Here is a 14,047-nt window from a genome sequence, read left to right as displayed (position 1 = left end):
CTTTCTCTTTATCTTTGGTGTGTCTACTAGTTTTTTCTTTTATGTTTACCACAAAGCTTACATGACGCATATTAGAGTTATAACTATTTTTAAGTTGATAACAACTTAACTCCCATGAAATGCAGATCTGTTATATTTTATTTTATTGATTATGTTGTTCATGTCAGAATATACATATCTTTATATTTTTTATCCAGTAACAAATTACTGTAACTGTAGTTGCTTAATGCTTTTAAGTTTTACAATTATGTTAAAAGTTGTTTACACATCATCATTACAGTGTTACAGTATTCTGAATTTGGCTATTTTTTACTAGCTTTATACTTGCATATTTTTCATGTTGCTAATTAGCAATCTTTTATTTCAATTGAAATTTCGTTATTTAGCACTTCTTTTAAGGAAGATGTGGTGATAAACTTTCTCAGTTTTTGTTTGTTTAGGAAGGTCTTTATCTCTCCATTTCTGAAATTAAGCTTTACCAAGTATAATGTTCTTGATTGGCAGGGTTCTTTTTTTGTTCCAGTACATTCACTATTTCATCCCACTCTCTCTTAGGTTGCAAGGTTCTGTTGAGAAAATTCATTGATAGCTCTATGGGAATTTCTTTGCATGTGGCTAGTTTTCTGTTGCTGCTTTCAACATTTTCTCTTTGTCATTGACTTTTGACAATTTGCTTATTATGTATAACAGTGAAGCTCTCTTTATGTTCAATCTATTTGGAGTTCCTTGGGATTATTGGTTTGGGATGCTCATTTTCCTACTAAGATTTGAGAAATTTTTAGTTATTAATTTTTAAATTTCTGTTGTTTTTCTTTTTCTCTTCTCTGTAATTTCTATAATGCATATATTGGTTAATTTGATAGTGTCATATAGGTCTTGTAGGCTGACTTCACTATTTCTCCTTCTTTTTGTTCTTCTGACTGATTAATTTCAAGTTATCTGTCTTTCAGTTCATTGGTTCTTTCTTCTGCTCAATCAGGTAATTTGCTGAAGCTCTGTATTGAATTTTTCAGGTGTCATTGTATTTTTTTTACTCCAAAATTTCTGTTTCATTGTTTTCAATTGTTTCTATCTCTTTACTGAACTTCTCATTTTGTTCATACATTATTTTCCTGATTTTATTTAGTTGCCTATCTATGTTCTCTTTAGTCCATTGAGTTTCTTTAAGAAGAGCATTCTTAATTCTTTGTCAGGCTGTTTTTAGATCTTACTTTCTTTGGGGTCAGCCACTGGAACTTTATTTTGTTCCTTTGGTAGTGCCATATTTCCTTCATTCATTGTGTTTTTTGAAGCCTTGGTGTTTCTGTTTTTCCATTTGAATAAGTCATTTCCTCTAGTCTTTACTGATGCTTTGGAAAAAATGAACCTTCACCACTCAGCCTGGCTAGAGATTCTAGGGGGTCTCTCAGACCTTTTTTATGGGTGTACTTAATCCACCCCTTTTGTTCCCTGCTAGTGTGGAAATCTGGGGACTGTGTATCTTCTCTCAATCCTGCAAAGCCAGGCTGAGTACTGAGAGATTTCCATTTATTTTTCTTAGGCAAGTGCCCAGAAGTGCTCAAGGTTGTACACCTCCTCTCTATTCAGCAGAATCAAGTCAGCTGCTGACATCTGTGTGCTGTCTGCAAAAGATACACACACCGTCTGAGGATCTTGCATGTGCTGCTTGCAGAGGCTCACATGCACCATCTGGGGAAGACCACACAAGTTATCTATGGAACCTCACACACATTCTGTGGGGAAATGTGGGGCACTGCCCAGGGGCGAGATGCATAGATTGATGGGGGTAAATATTAGCTAGCGGAGGGATCCACAGGTGAGGCATCCTACATGGCATGTGAGCAGGTTTCTTGGTAGAGATAATGAGCTGGTTGGTAGGATGTGTGTCTAATTACTAGCATCCGCTGGTTGCTGTAAGCCTCCACTCATTTTCTTTTCTCCTGATGGTCCCCAGATTATTCCGCTGTGCTAATCTTTTCAGTGTTCTAGGTGAGATGAGACAGAAATGGGCCTCTTGGGAAATGTTCCATAAGGCTAGGAAAGCCAGGCACTCACTTCATTTCCACCTTCTCCCATGGGAGAAATCATGTACTAAGGGAGTCTCTCTTGGCCATAGCTGTGCCACTTAGAAGAGTGATACAGGGAAAGTGAAACTGTCCTTCTTATCCTCTTTAATGTGTCTATTTTCATTTGTATTTTGCTCCACCAAGGTGCTTGAACCTCTTTTTTTTTTTTTTTTTTTTTTGAGATGGAGTCTCACTCTGTCGCTCAGGAGTACAGTGGCATGATCTCGGCTCACTGCAACCTCCACCCTCCAAGTTCAAGCGATTCTCCTGCCTCAGCCTCCCGAGTGGCTGGGATTATAGGCACCTGCCACCATGCCTGGCTAATTTTTTGTATTTTTAGTAGAGACGGGGTTTCACCATCTTGGCCAGGCTGATCTTGAACTCCTGACCTCGTGATCTACCCGCCTCGGCCTCCCAAAGTGCTTGGATTACAGGTGTGAGCCACTGCGCCCGGCCAGGTGCTTGGACTTCTTATGTGTACTTCTAGGATCCCATAAAAATATTTTCACTCATAAATGGTTGTTAAAATTCTTTCTGTGGGAGATATGAGGTCTTTCTGCCATCTGGCTTATGTTCTTTTGGCTTGCCTCTGTGTTGACATCTTACTGGTAATACACATTTTTTTTTTCCTGTGATCTTCCTCTTTTTATACTCTCCAGATAGTGTGCAATATTTTTTATCTATGATTTATCCTCTCCTTTAAGATTACAACCATATCATTGTGATTAGAATTTGCATGTTTCTAAAATGTTTTTATTATGCATATACAAATTGTCAACTTTTATTCCATGGAAATTTTATGTTCCATTTCAAATGGTTCTTTATGGGAAGATTGTTTCAATTCTATTTTTCTCTTTTGACCAGATTCTTTAATTGCTTATGTAATTTTGGTGTCCTGCGTAATACAGCATATGAGAGTGTCCCACAGATACATCTTCAAACCCATTTCCTGGGAGTCTATTTTACTCTAATAAACAACAAATCTTAAAAGTTTCAGCCAAAAGATTTATGTGACCTTAAGTGAGGGAATACATCATATATTGAATTCCTTTTGTTCTAGAAATGAACAATTGTTCCTAGTAAAATGAATTGTGAGGACAATATTTTAGCATTAAAGCCATGAGTCCGTTGATTCAAAAAGGAATGTCCTATAGAAATAAGTAGATAAATGATGTTTTCAAATCCAGGAAGACTTTTTCTCCTTGGTCTCACTTATGACCCAGACTTTTGTCTATTTTGAAGATAGGAAGGAATTGTTAAAGATAGTGAATGGAAGTAACCAATGTGAAGAAGTGGGAAATGTCAATGTCCAGGATCAGTGGGGAACTGTGTGTCATCAGAACTGGGATGCTAATAGTTGTTTGTAATTAACTGGGTTAACACTTTGTAGTCAACACAAATTTTCCTCCTAATGTTAGTGCTTAATCCAAGAATATATAGATGTTTCATACATCCTGCTTTGGAGATAAATCAGCTCTATGGGTATGCAAACACTATGGTTGGGGGATGTGTTAGTCCATTTGCATTGCTATGAAGGAATACCGGAGACTGGATAATTTATAAAGAAAAGTGGTTTGTTTGGTTCATGGTTCTGCAGGCTGTACATGAATCATGGAACCAGCAACTGCTTCTGGTGAGGGGCTCAGAAACCTTACAATCATGGCAGAAGGCCAAGGGGAAGTCAGCATATCACATGGAAAGAGGAAGCAAGAGAGAAGGGAGCAAGGTGGTGGGGGAGGTGCCAGGTGCCAGGTTCTCTAAACAACCAGCTCCCCTATGAACTCATTACTGCAGGGAGGGCACAAAGCCATTCATGAGAGATCCTCCTCCATGACCAAAACACCTCCCACAGGCCCCACCTTGAATACTGGGGAATCACATTTCAACCTCAGATTCGGAGGGGACAAAACATCCAAACCATATCAGGGGAATAATAATGGTAATCATAATTTGGGTACTGGAGTTATTTGTTTTAGTAAGACTTTGAACAAATGGAAATTTTAAAAAGAAAATCTATGTTCAAATTTTTCATAATTATTTATTCTTTAAAAAGGAAACGAGCAATATCATCTTTAAGCATTATCTCAGAATTTTAGGCTATTCTGTTTTCCTTTTAATGTCTGGAAGGTATTGTTCCATGTTTTATGACTTTCCCTTTTCTCTTGAAAAGGGAGAATTGTTGTTTTTATTTAATTTTCTCTGAAGGACATCCACCTTAGTCTCTGTGTGCTTTTAAAGTTTTGTTTTCTTTTTTCTCTCTTTAGTTTCCAGCTATTTTACCATTATGTGCTTAGATGTCATTTTCTTTGTGTTCCTGCACTTGTAGTTTATGGCAATGCTTGAATTTTGGCTATATTTGAAGAGTCTCAATTTTTGGCAAATTCTTAACTATTTTTTATTATATATATATATTTATATTTATATTTATTTTTTATTTTTTTGAGACAGAGTCTCGCTCTGTCGCCTAGGCTGGAGTGCAGTGGTGTGATCTCAGCTCACTGCAACCTCTGCCTCCTGGGTTCAAGCGATTCTCCTGCCTCAGCCTCCCGAGTAGCTGGGACTACAGGCACGTGCCATCATGCCCAGCTAATTTTTGTATTTTTAGTGGAGACGGGGTTTCACCGTATTAGCCAGGATGGTCTCGTCGCTCTCCTTTTTTTTTTTTTGGATATGGACTCTCGCTCTGTCACTCAGGCTGGAGTGCGGTGGTGTGATCTCAGCTCACTGCAACCTCTGCCTCCTGGATTCAAGCGATCCTCCTGCCTCAGCCTCCCGAGTAGCTGGGTTTAGGTGCACACCACCATGCCCAGCTGATGTTTGTATTTTTAATAGAGATAGGGTTTCACCATGTTGGCCAAGCTGGTCTCGAACTCCTGACCTCAACTGATCTGCCCGCCTTGGTCTCCCAAAGTGCTGAGATTACAGGCATGAGCCACTGTGCCTGGCCTTTAACTGTTATATTTTCAAATATTTCTTCTGCTGAATTCTCTATCTTTTTACTCTCTGGAACTCCAATTACACAAATATTTGTCTTCTTATTCCCTACTTTGTTCCTCTTGAAACCTTTTTTTCCTGCATTTCCTGTGATTTTGTCTTTTTATGCTTGTATTTTACAGTATGCTAATACTTTTTTCTTTGATGAATTTTGTTAATCTATTGTGTTATTAATTTAATTACTGTATTTTTCAGTTCTAGAACCTTCATTTGGTTTATTTTTATAGTTTTTATATTTATTTTTCTGCCAAAATTTTCAGTCTTGCCTTTTATTTTGTCGTACATATATTAAGGATGGTAATTTACAGTCTATTTCTGGTAATTCACACCTCCTGTTGATTGTGTCTTTTTTTCCTCTTGGCTTTTAATCATGTTATCTTCTCCATAGTTTTTTTATTTCTGAGAGAGTAAGATGCACAATTCATGAAAAATTATAAAGCCAATTGGAGGTGTAGTATAATCTTATGTTTTTGGCAGAAGGCAATCTCAGATAATCTTAATTCAGTCACAGTTAGAGATTAAATCTTGGCTTCAGTTTCTACAAAGGCTAGTCTGTTCTAGTCCTTATTTCTCGAAATGTACCCTTTACGACAGGGGTCTCCAACCCCCGGGCTGTAAACTGGTACCGGTCACGGTATGTTAGGAATTGGGCCACGCAGTGGGCGGTGAGAGGCGGGCAAGAGAGCATTACTGATAGAGCTCCACCTCCTCTCAGATCAGGGCTGGCATTAGATTCTCACAGGAGCGCAAACCCTATTGTGAACTGTGCATTTGGGGGATCTAGGTTGCTCACTCCCTATGAGAATCTAATGCCTGATTATCTGAGGCAGAACAGTTTCATCCTGAAACCATCGCTGTCCCCTCCATTCCCCCCGACCCCCGTGGAAAAATTTTTTTCCACAAAAGCAGTCTTCGGTGCCAAAAAGGTTGGGAAATGCTGTTATTGAGGGTCTCCTTTGGTGGGTTCTGAACTTTGTGTGCTACATTTAGGCAGATTTTACATAAATTAGTATACAAAAATAAAACTTACTTTATGAGGAGATTTTGAATACACTTAAATATATTTACAAATGACACATGGCTTCCTTTCTTATGCTTACTTAAAAAAACACATTTTGAATTAATATTCCTTATCTATTGACTGTCTCTTTTAAAATACATAACACTGTGATAATCTCTTCTTGGAAAAATGCTAATTCCATCTGTAGGTTTATAAACTTACTGTATGGCCTCAATGATCTCACCTTCCATAGAAGTCATATACACATGCAATAGCAATGAGAAGTATGATTCTTCTTTATTTCTTCTTTTTTTCCCTTGGATGACTGGTTGGATGTTGGGCACCAAGGAGAGAAAAAGGAAAACAAACCATGTTGGGCGTTGGCTATCTCCCTTTTTATCCTATGCTCTTTCCTAGACATGGTAGTCAAAAAAGTACAAGTACAAAACTGAAGCAGGGAAAGGCTTTTGCAAAGAACAGAATCTCAGCTCAAAATAACAAAAGCAGAGGCAGTGTTTTGACTCAAAGAGCTGGCGTGCCCAATTGTGAATCACTTGGAGTATGCCTAGATCCAAGGTTCCACATTATTTCTGGGAATCTATTTCCTGAATCAGTTATTAGATTAAGAAAAGAACATCTAAATAGTTAGAAGAGAAAATTTGGAGTGTTCTTGCCACAAATAAAATACACATTTTTGAGGTGATGGATATCCAAATTACTCTAATTTGAATATTTCACACTGTATATAGGTATCAGAATATCACATGTATCCCCAAAATACATACAACTGATATGTATCGATAAAAATACAAAAGTGGAAATAGTTTAAAAATATTGCTAATGTGACATTCTATTTCTTGAATCTAGCAATATATTAAAATAATAATACACTGTGACTAACTGTCTTTCAATGAGTGAATGGGGTAACAAAGTTCTATATTCTTACTGTGGTAATAGTTACACAAATTAATACCTGTATTACAACTCAAAGAACTGTACACACACAAATGCATACAAAACCAGTAATTTTACTTTGTTAATTTATTAAATAAAGGTAAATAATCTGTAAAAAAAATCTCATTCATTTAACTGAGAGATACGGGGACAAAACAAGCAATTGGAGAGAGAGAGACAGACAGACAATGTATTCTTGGATTCTTGGAAGACCTAGGCATATATATGATATATATATATATATATGTAGTGTTCAGTTTTGCTAAGTGTAAAAATATATATGTACACACACAGTTGGCCTTTAGAATCTGTGGGTTTCATATCCATGGAGTCAACCAACCGCTGATTAAAACTTTGCATTTAGTTGAATCTGTGGGTGTGAAACCAGCAGATTAGAAGGCCAACTAAGGGACTTGAGCATCTGCAGATTTTAATATCCATGGGAGTCTGGGAACCACACCCCTGTGGATAAGGTGAGGTGATTTTGTGTGTGTATGTGTGTGTGTGTGTGTGTCTGTGTGTGTGTGTGTGTGTGTGTGTATGGATGTGTGTGTGTATATATACACATATCTTCAAGTTCTCAGGCTTTCCTTATTTCCATATTTCTTTATATCACTTAGCAAAATTGATCACTATATATATGTGTGTGTATATATATATGTGTGTGTGTGTATATATATATCCAAATTCTCAGCTTTTCCTTATTTCCTTATTTCTTTATATCACTTAGTAAAATTGACCACTACATATGATACATATACGTAGTGGTCAATTTTGCTAAGTGATGTAAAGAAGTAAGGAAATAAGGAAAGGCTGAGACTTTGAATTAAATCAACAGAGCATTTTAATAATATAACAAGCCCATAATTTATGGCTGGTCACACTTGCTTTCACCTTTAGAAGTTTTATTTTTTCATTTGTTTCGTTTGTTCCATTTCATTCAAGAGTAAATTCCTGTAAGATGAATAATTGGAAGTTATATTGCAAGAAGTTGGAGTTAAATGTTCATTTAAAGGAAGAAAAATTTTTGAAATAGGAAAAAGAGGATGATCACAGTGATGACAATGATATCTTATTGCCACTGCTTATACACAGTTATTAAGTTCTAAAATGTTTGCTGGCTAGACTCAGAGCCAGCAAAGGCTCATGTTTTGACAATAAATTTACATGCATTATTGACCTTTGATTGATTTATTGTGATTCACAATCAGAAAGGGCATTTCTACTCTCTGTTGTGCTTTATTCCCCAAATGCCAGAGATTCTGGTGGATTGTCAACATCATAGTATGATCCTTTCCTGGGATAGATTCTATTACATTAAACTTGTACAAGAATTTTAAAAAGCAAGAGTTAGACATTCATTGAATCTCAATTTATTATATATTTGTGTTTATTTGGATAGCAGGATCTGGAATCTGAAGTTTCTGATCAAAACTTCACCTGGGCTTTGTGTTTATATCTCTGTTTCAGATAGTAGTGATCTTGAACTAAGGCTTGTAGGTGGAACTAACCGCTGTATGGGGAGAGTAGAGCTGAAAATCCAAGGAAGGTGGGGGACCGTATGCCACCATAAGTGGAACAATGCTGCAGCTGATGTCGTATGCAAGCAGTTGGGATGTGGAACCGCACTTCACTTCGCTGGCTTGCCTCATTTGCAGTCAGGGTCTGATGTTGTATGGCTTGATGGTGTCTCCTGCTCCGGTAATGAATCTTTTCTTTGGGACTGCAGACATTCCGGAACCGTCAATTTTGACTGTCTTCATCAAAACGATGTGTCTGTGATCTGCTCAGGTAAGACTTACATCCACATGATTACATCAGATAAAATTTCTTTTTTGGAGAACTAGGACCAAACCCTGAAAAAGTTACAACCAATTGTGATGTGTAAGAATTGTGAAGAAGTTACAACCAATTGTGATGTGTAAGAATTGACACTTTCAATGTTTCCTTAGGGAACATGTCTGCATTTTATGCAGCATATTACATTGTAAGCCTCATGGGAATAAGGTTTTTACCCACCCCCAACACACCATTTTACTTAATTCTAATTGGTGCAACAAAATGTCCAATCTAGTCAAAATTGCTGTTAATCTATACAAGTGCATGGCTTATATTAATATTCAGTATAATTTTAAAATGTGTAATCACTTTGCATATTCATAGACACAACTATATTTTTCTAGGTTATAACTGAGTTTGTTTTAGCACTTCCTTTCATTAAAATAAACTATTTCCAAAGAGTACCTATCTAAAAATTTATGACTTTGCTAATTACTTTGTACCTTATACTAGTAAAATTTTTGTCTGCAGCCATTTGTTTTCTAGTTTGCAACTTTCAACTACAAGCAAGTTACCCCTCGCTGTTTATTTATAGTTTTGTATATCAGGGATTAAAATATCCTTCATATTTCTCTCACAGTAGTATTTTATGTTCAAAGATGTAATGAAACCTGTTCACTCTCTTAATAAGATTAAACCCACACCTTCTAATATTCTTACGAAAGGAGAATCCCTAGATGTAGAGCCAACGATTTTCCTCTGAGAGTCAGTTTGTCTTGATGGAAGAGGCTTCTTTCGTAAATTATTACTGACCTTACGTTACCAGCCTTACACAGGATGCCTTAATCTTATTTCCTATAGAATTTGAGATCAGGTCACATCTTTTAAGAAGAGTTTTTCTTAAGTCTAGAGTATGCCGCAGGGAACGATATACATAGAAAAACATATGTAGACGAAGAGGTTTATGGGTTTAGCTGTACCTTAGCCACGGGATTTATGCCATCCTTATAGGACTTTTGGGAAAGATAATATATTCAGAACATCTTTTAATCCTTTTCTTTCTGTTTATACTAGTTTGCTTGCAAGTTTTATCTGGGGACCAACCACTTTCACCATTCAAAAGAGTTTCCCATAGTATATTTAATCAATCCATCATTTTATAAGAAAAATTTTTCTCCACATAACAGAAAAGAGAGGTAGACGAAAGTTAGGAGAGAAAAGAGGGAGACATGAGAAGATGAGAGAGATGAGAGAAGGGGGAAGGAAACAGAGAGAATCTTAATCATTTTGATAAATTTTCTTACAATGAAGTGAATTCATAACTGTGTACTTCTGACTTGATATAACATCCTTAACTGTCAGACCAGTTGCTATTCAAACTCTGGAACTTCTGGAACTATTTGCCTCTGGAAGAGTAAGGAAGGGCCATGAAGAATGATGCAGATGTGAAAATAAGGTTGGAAAACCGTCCCAACAGTGAAAACAGATGTGTATGGCCAACCCACAGGAAAATGGGTAGTTAGATACATTGGCCTTCTCTTCAGCCCTGTAGTCAGAGGATTTTTTTTTCCCAAACAAAAACAGTTCACAGTTTCACAGTTTAAAATCTGTCACTTGATAATTATGTGACCCTGTATAAATCAATCTCCAAGTTGCAGATTTCTTATATCATGACTAGGATAACAGCATTAAATAAAATAGTGCAGGGAAAATACCTAAAATGTGCCTGGCAACCAGGAAGTTCTCAACAGGTATAGGTTGAGAACTATCATTATGACCTACATTATTTATAGGAAAATAAACCTCCAAATCTCCGAAGACTAACCTATTCAATGTGAACCAGATTTCTCACTAGATAGCAAATTATATTTTTGTAATGATGTATGAAAAGCTTGAATAATGGGAGGAGATGAGACATAGAAATTATATCTCCTTTCCTCAATTATTTCAAGAAAAGTTCTCCACATTTTTACTTTCTTGGGGTTATTTAATATATTTATTTGTATGCATGAAAAAGCAGAGTCACAGGAACACAAAGAAGTAACGTGATGTATATGCTGATGGAGCAAAAACACACAGTTTCTTCAAAAATTACCACTGAACAAATTTCATTTCCTATGACAAATATGTTTAATAAGCAAAGGCTTGCTTCTTCGTAGAAAACAGTATGAGAAAGAACATATTTCTATTTAAATCCAAGAGAGACTTTTTGCTAATTGTGCATTCCTTTTGTCCCTTTTCTTTCTGAAGTTACTGAAATGCAAGTATTTCCCAACACTATTTTATTTTACGGTGTTAAAAATAACCACTCTAATATTTTGAAAATTAATGTAATTAATGATATATAGGTTTATATGGCTTTTTATTGCAATGTTTAGTTTCTTAAATTTTAGTAAGGCTAAAGCAAGGTTCTTAGGATTATAATTTCAATTTTCATATTTAAAAGAAGATTGTTTTCATAAAGACTGACAAGTCGTTATGAAACAATCTTTAAAATTTCAATCTTTAAAATCTTTAAAATTTCAATCTTTAAAATTTTAAAACAAAATGATTTCCAGTCTTTAGTCTTTACTTTTCTCAGTATGTGAAGGATACATCTAATCTTCACATTGGAGGGGTTGGAGGAGAGGGATGCTGATGATATTGTCCCAAACCCAATTCAGACGTTTCTCTGTGACTTCATCCTAGATGGAGCAGATTTGGAACTGCGACTAGCAGATGGAAGTAACAATTGTTCAGGGAGAGTAGAGGTGAGAATTCATGAACAGTGGTGGACAATATGTGACCAGAACTGGAAGAATGAACAAGCCCTTGTGGTTTGTAAGCAGCTAGGATGTCCGTTCAGCGTCTTTGGCAGTCGTCGTGCTAAACCTAGTAATGAAGCTAGAGACATTTGGATAAACAGCATATCTTGCACTGGGAATGAGTCAGCTCTCTGGGACTGCACATATGATGGAAAAGCAAAGCGAACATGCTTCCGAAGATCAGATGCTGGAGTAATTTGTTCTGGTAAGGTTCAAAGATCATGAGAGTGTACACATTTGAATTTTTAGAAATAATCTGTTGGGAGGTTAGAAACAATAGCTTGAAGAAAAGGTTTTCTGGACCTTAAAAAAAAACCCAAAATACTCTTAAGCTGCACAAAGAACTTTTCAAATGCACATTGTAAAAAGAGAGTTTCTTCTCACTAGCAGTCTCCCCTGAAATCAGATGCAGCTGCTACCACTGCATGAGTATAATCTGTATCTCTAAAATAACTGGGCAACCTCTCTTCATAGAAAACTAATGAGTTGTACTAATTTACAGTTTTCTTAACAGCTTTTCTGCTGCTTTTTAACTTTTTTTATTTAATAATATACATTGTTTATTTCTGATTATAAATTAAGGCTTATTATAGAGAATTAGGAATATATACAAATCCAAATAGCTGATATAGATATATTTATATGCATATGTTGATACGATGTATAATTCTGTAAGCATCTAGAATGTCATTAGTAGAATTGAAAACAAAGAAAATCTATGTGTATAATACTTATGAAATATTTTAAGTATAAAACATTTCCAAGAACTTTTAAACAGAAAAAACAGGTTAGATATTTAAAAAACAAAGCTAGGTGCAGTGGCTCACACCTGTAACCCCAACACTTTGGGAGACTACCACAGGAAGATCACTTGAGGCCAAGATTCACAATCAACTTGGGTAATATAGCAAGACTCCCTCTGCAAAAAATTTAAAAATTAGCTGGGTGTGGTGGTGCATACCTGTGGTCCTAGCTACTCAGTAGACTAAGGCGGGAGGATTGCTTGATCCCAGAAATTCGAGGCTGCAGTGAGCCGTGATTGGGTCACTGCACTCCAGCCTGGGCAACAGAGTGAGACCTCATCTTGTTAAAAAAAAAAAATGAAATAAATAAATAAAATCGAGACAGCATTATTCTCTGTGGCACTTTATGAAGGGAAAAAAAGGAATATCTAGAGAGTCCTAAGTGGGAGGGTGCACAGGTGTCTGGGGAGTATTGTGAGCCTACATAACCATTTCCAACGATGCTGTTTACATGAAGGTATACCTGATAGTCTTGTTATTTATTGATATCCTAAAAGCCTGATAGATGATAGATATAGGATAAATGAAGAATGATGTTCTTGTAAATGAAACACACACACACACACAAATACCTTATATGTGGATGGAAAGATAGAAATATAAATAATGCAACTCCTTATTTTGTATCTTGTTTCTCACTTGCTATAACATTTGCATTTTCCCACACCCTTAAACTAATTACTTAAAAATTAAAATTAAAAAACTTTATGTTATTCTATCATATGTGTACAGTAAATTTAGCCTGATCTCTATTCTTGGTGTTTAGGCTGTTGGATAATTTTTCACTATTAATATTATACTAACCTGACATTCTTGAATGTACACCTTACATATATCTTATATTCAAGAATGTCAGGTTAGTATAATATATAATGGTATCCAGAAATTGCAGAGTGGAATTTGTTTTATGAATCTATTTATCTATGTATTCTGTTCACATTTAGTGTGATCAATTTGGTAGACAAAGTTAACTATCAATTCTTTTGTACACTTTAATTTTATTTTACTTTTCTCTTTTTTATAGATTGATATAAAACATTATAAAAATTACTTTTTGCTTTTTGGAAACTACTTTTTCAAATTATAAACCCAGTGAAAAGGTCAAAATACAAAAAAAAAATAATTTTTTAAATCCACATGCAACGCTACCATTCATTCAAATCTTTTGTGATTTTTTTGTTGTTTATGTTTCTGGATTGTGTGTGTGTATGTGTGTACCCTTTGTGCTGAACAATATACCACAGACATATTCCACATGGCCATTACTAATCTATCTTAATGTTAAAGGCTACTTACTATATTGCATAAATGTACTATAATTTATTTAACTACCTCATAATGTTAAGTTTTAAAAGGTTTTCAAATTTTTGCTGTTAAAAATATGATTTTATTTGATATACTGAGAAATACATTTTTCACACTTGATTATATAGTTTGCCAAATACTTAAAAATGAAATTGTCATGTAAAACCATATGCATCTTTTTTTAAAGTCTTGGATACATATTAACAAATTATCATCTATAAATTGTGTTTTTTTCTTCTATTCAATTTCAGTTCCCTATTATTCCACTATATCATATTAACACTGAATATTTTCATATTTTAGAATAACTGAATCTGATTTTTAAAATATAATAATATTAAT

At 35.4% G+C, this 14,047-nt stretch overlaps 1 protein-coding gene across 10 annotated transcripts in view; it reads left to right on the top strand.

Annotated features, from left to right (window-relative positions):
• The window catches only part of CD163L1 (CD163 molecule like 1), a 125,386-nt gene that overhangs the window by 28,817 nt on the left and 82,522 nt on the right, over positions 1–14,047 (top strand). For all 10 annotated transcript variants that reach the window (XR_931282.3, XR_007063068.1, XR_007063067.1 and 7 more), the window contains 2 exons: positions 8,485–8,805; positions 11,482–11,802. Coding sequence is in view for 7 of the 10 variants with exons in the window: in XM_011520616.2 (XP_011518918.1) it covers positions 8,485–8,805; positions 11,482–11,802 (642 nt within the window). In the remaining 3 variants the exon portion in view is untranslated. The remainder of the gene's footprint in view (positions 1–8,484; positions 8,806–11,481; positions 11,803–14,047) is intronic.

Source organism: Homo sapiens, chromosome 12, assembly GCF_000001405.40.
Source record: "Homo sapiens chromosome 12, GRCh38.p14 Primary Assembly".
NCBI classification, from domain to species: domain Eukaryota; kingdom Metazoa; phylum Chordata; class Mammalia; order Primates; family Hominidae; genus Homo; species Homo sapiens.
The sequence above is the reverse complement of the archived record's forward strand: the minus strand, read 5'-3'. Positions and strand labels throughout refer to the sequence as shown.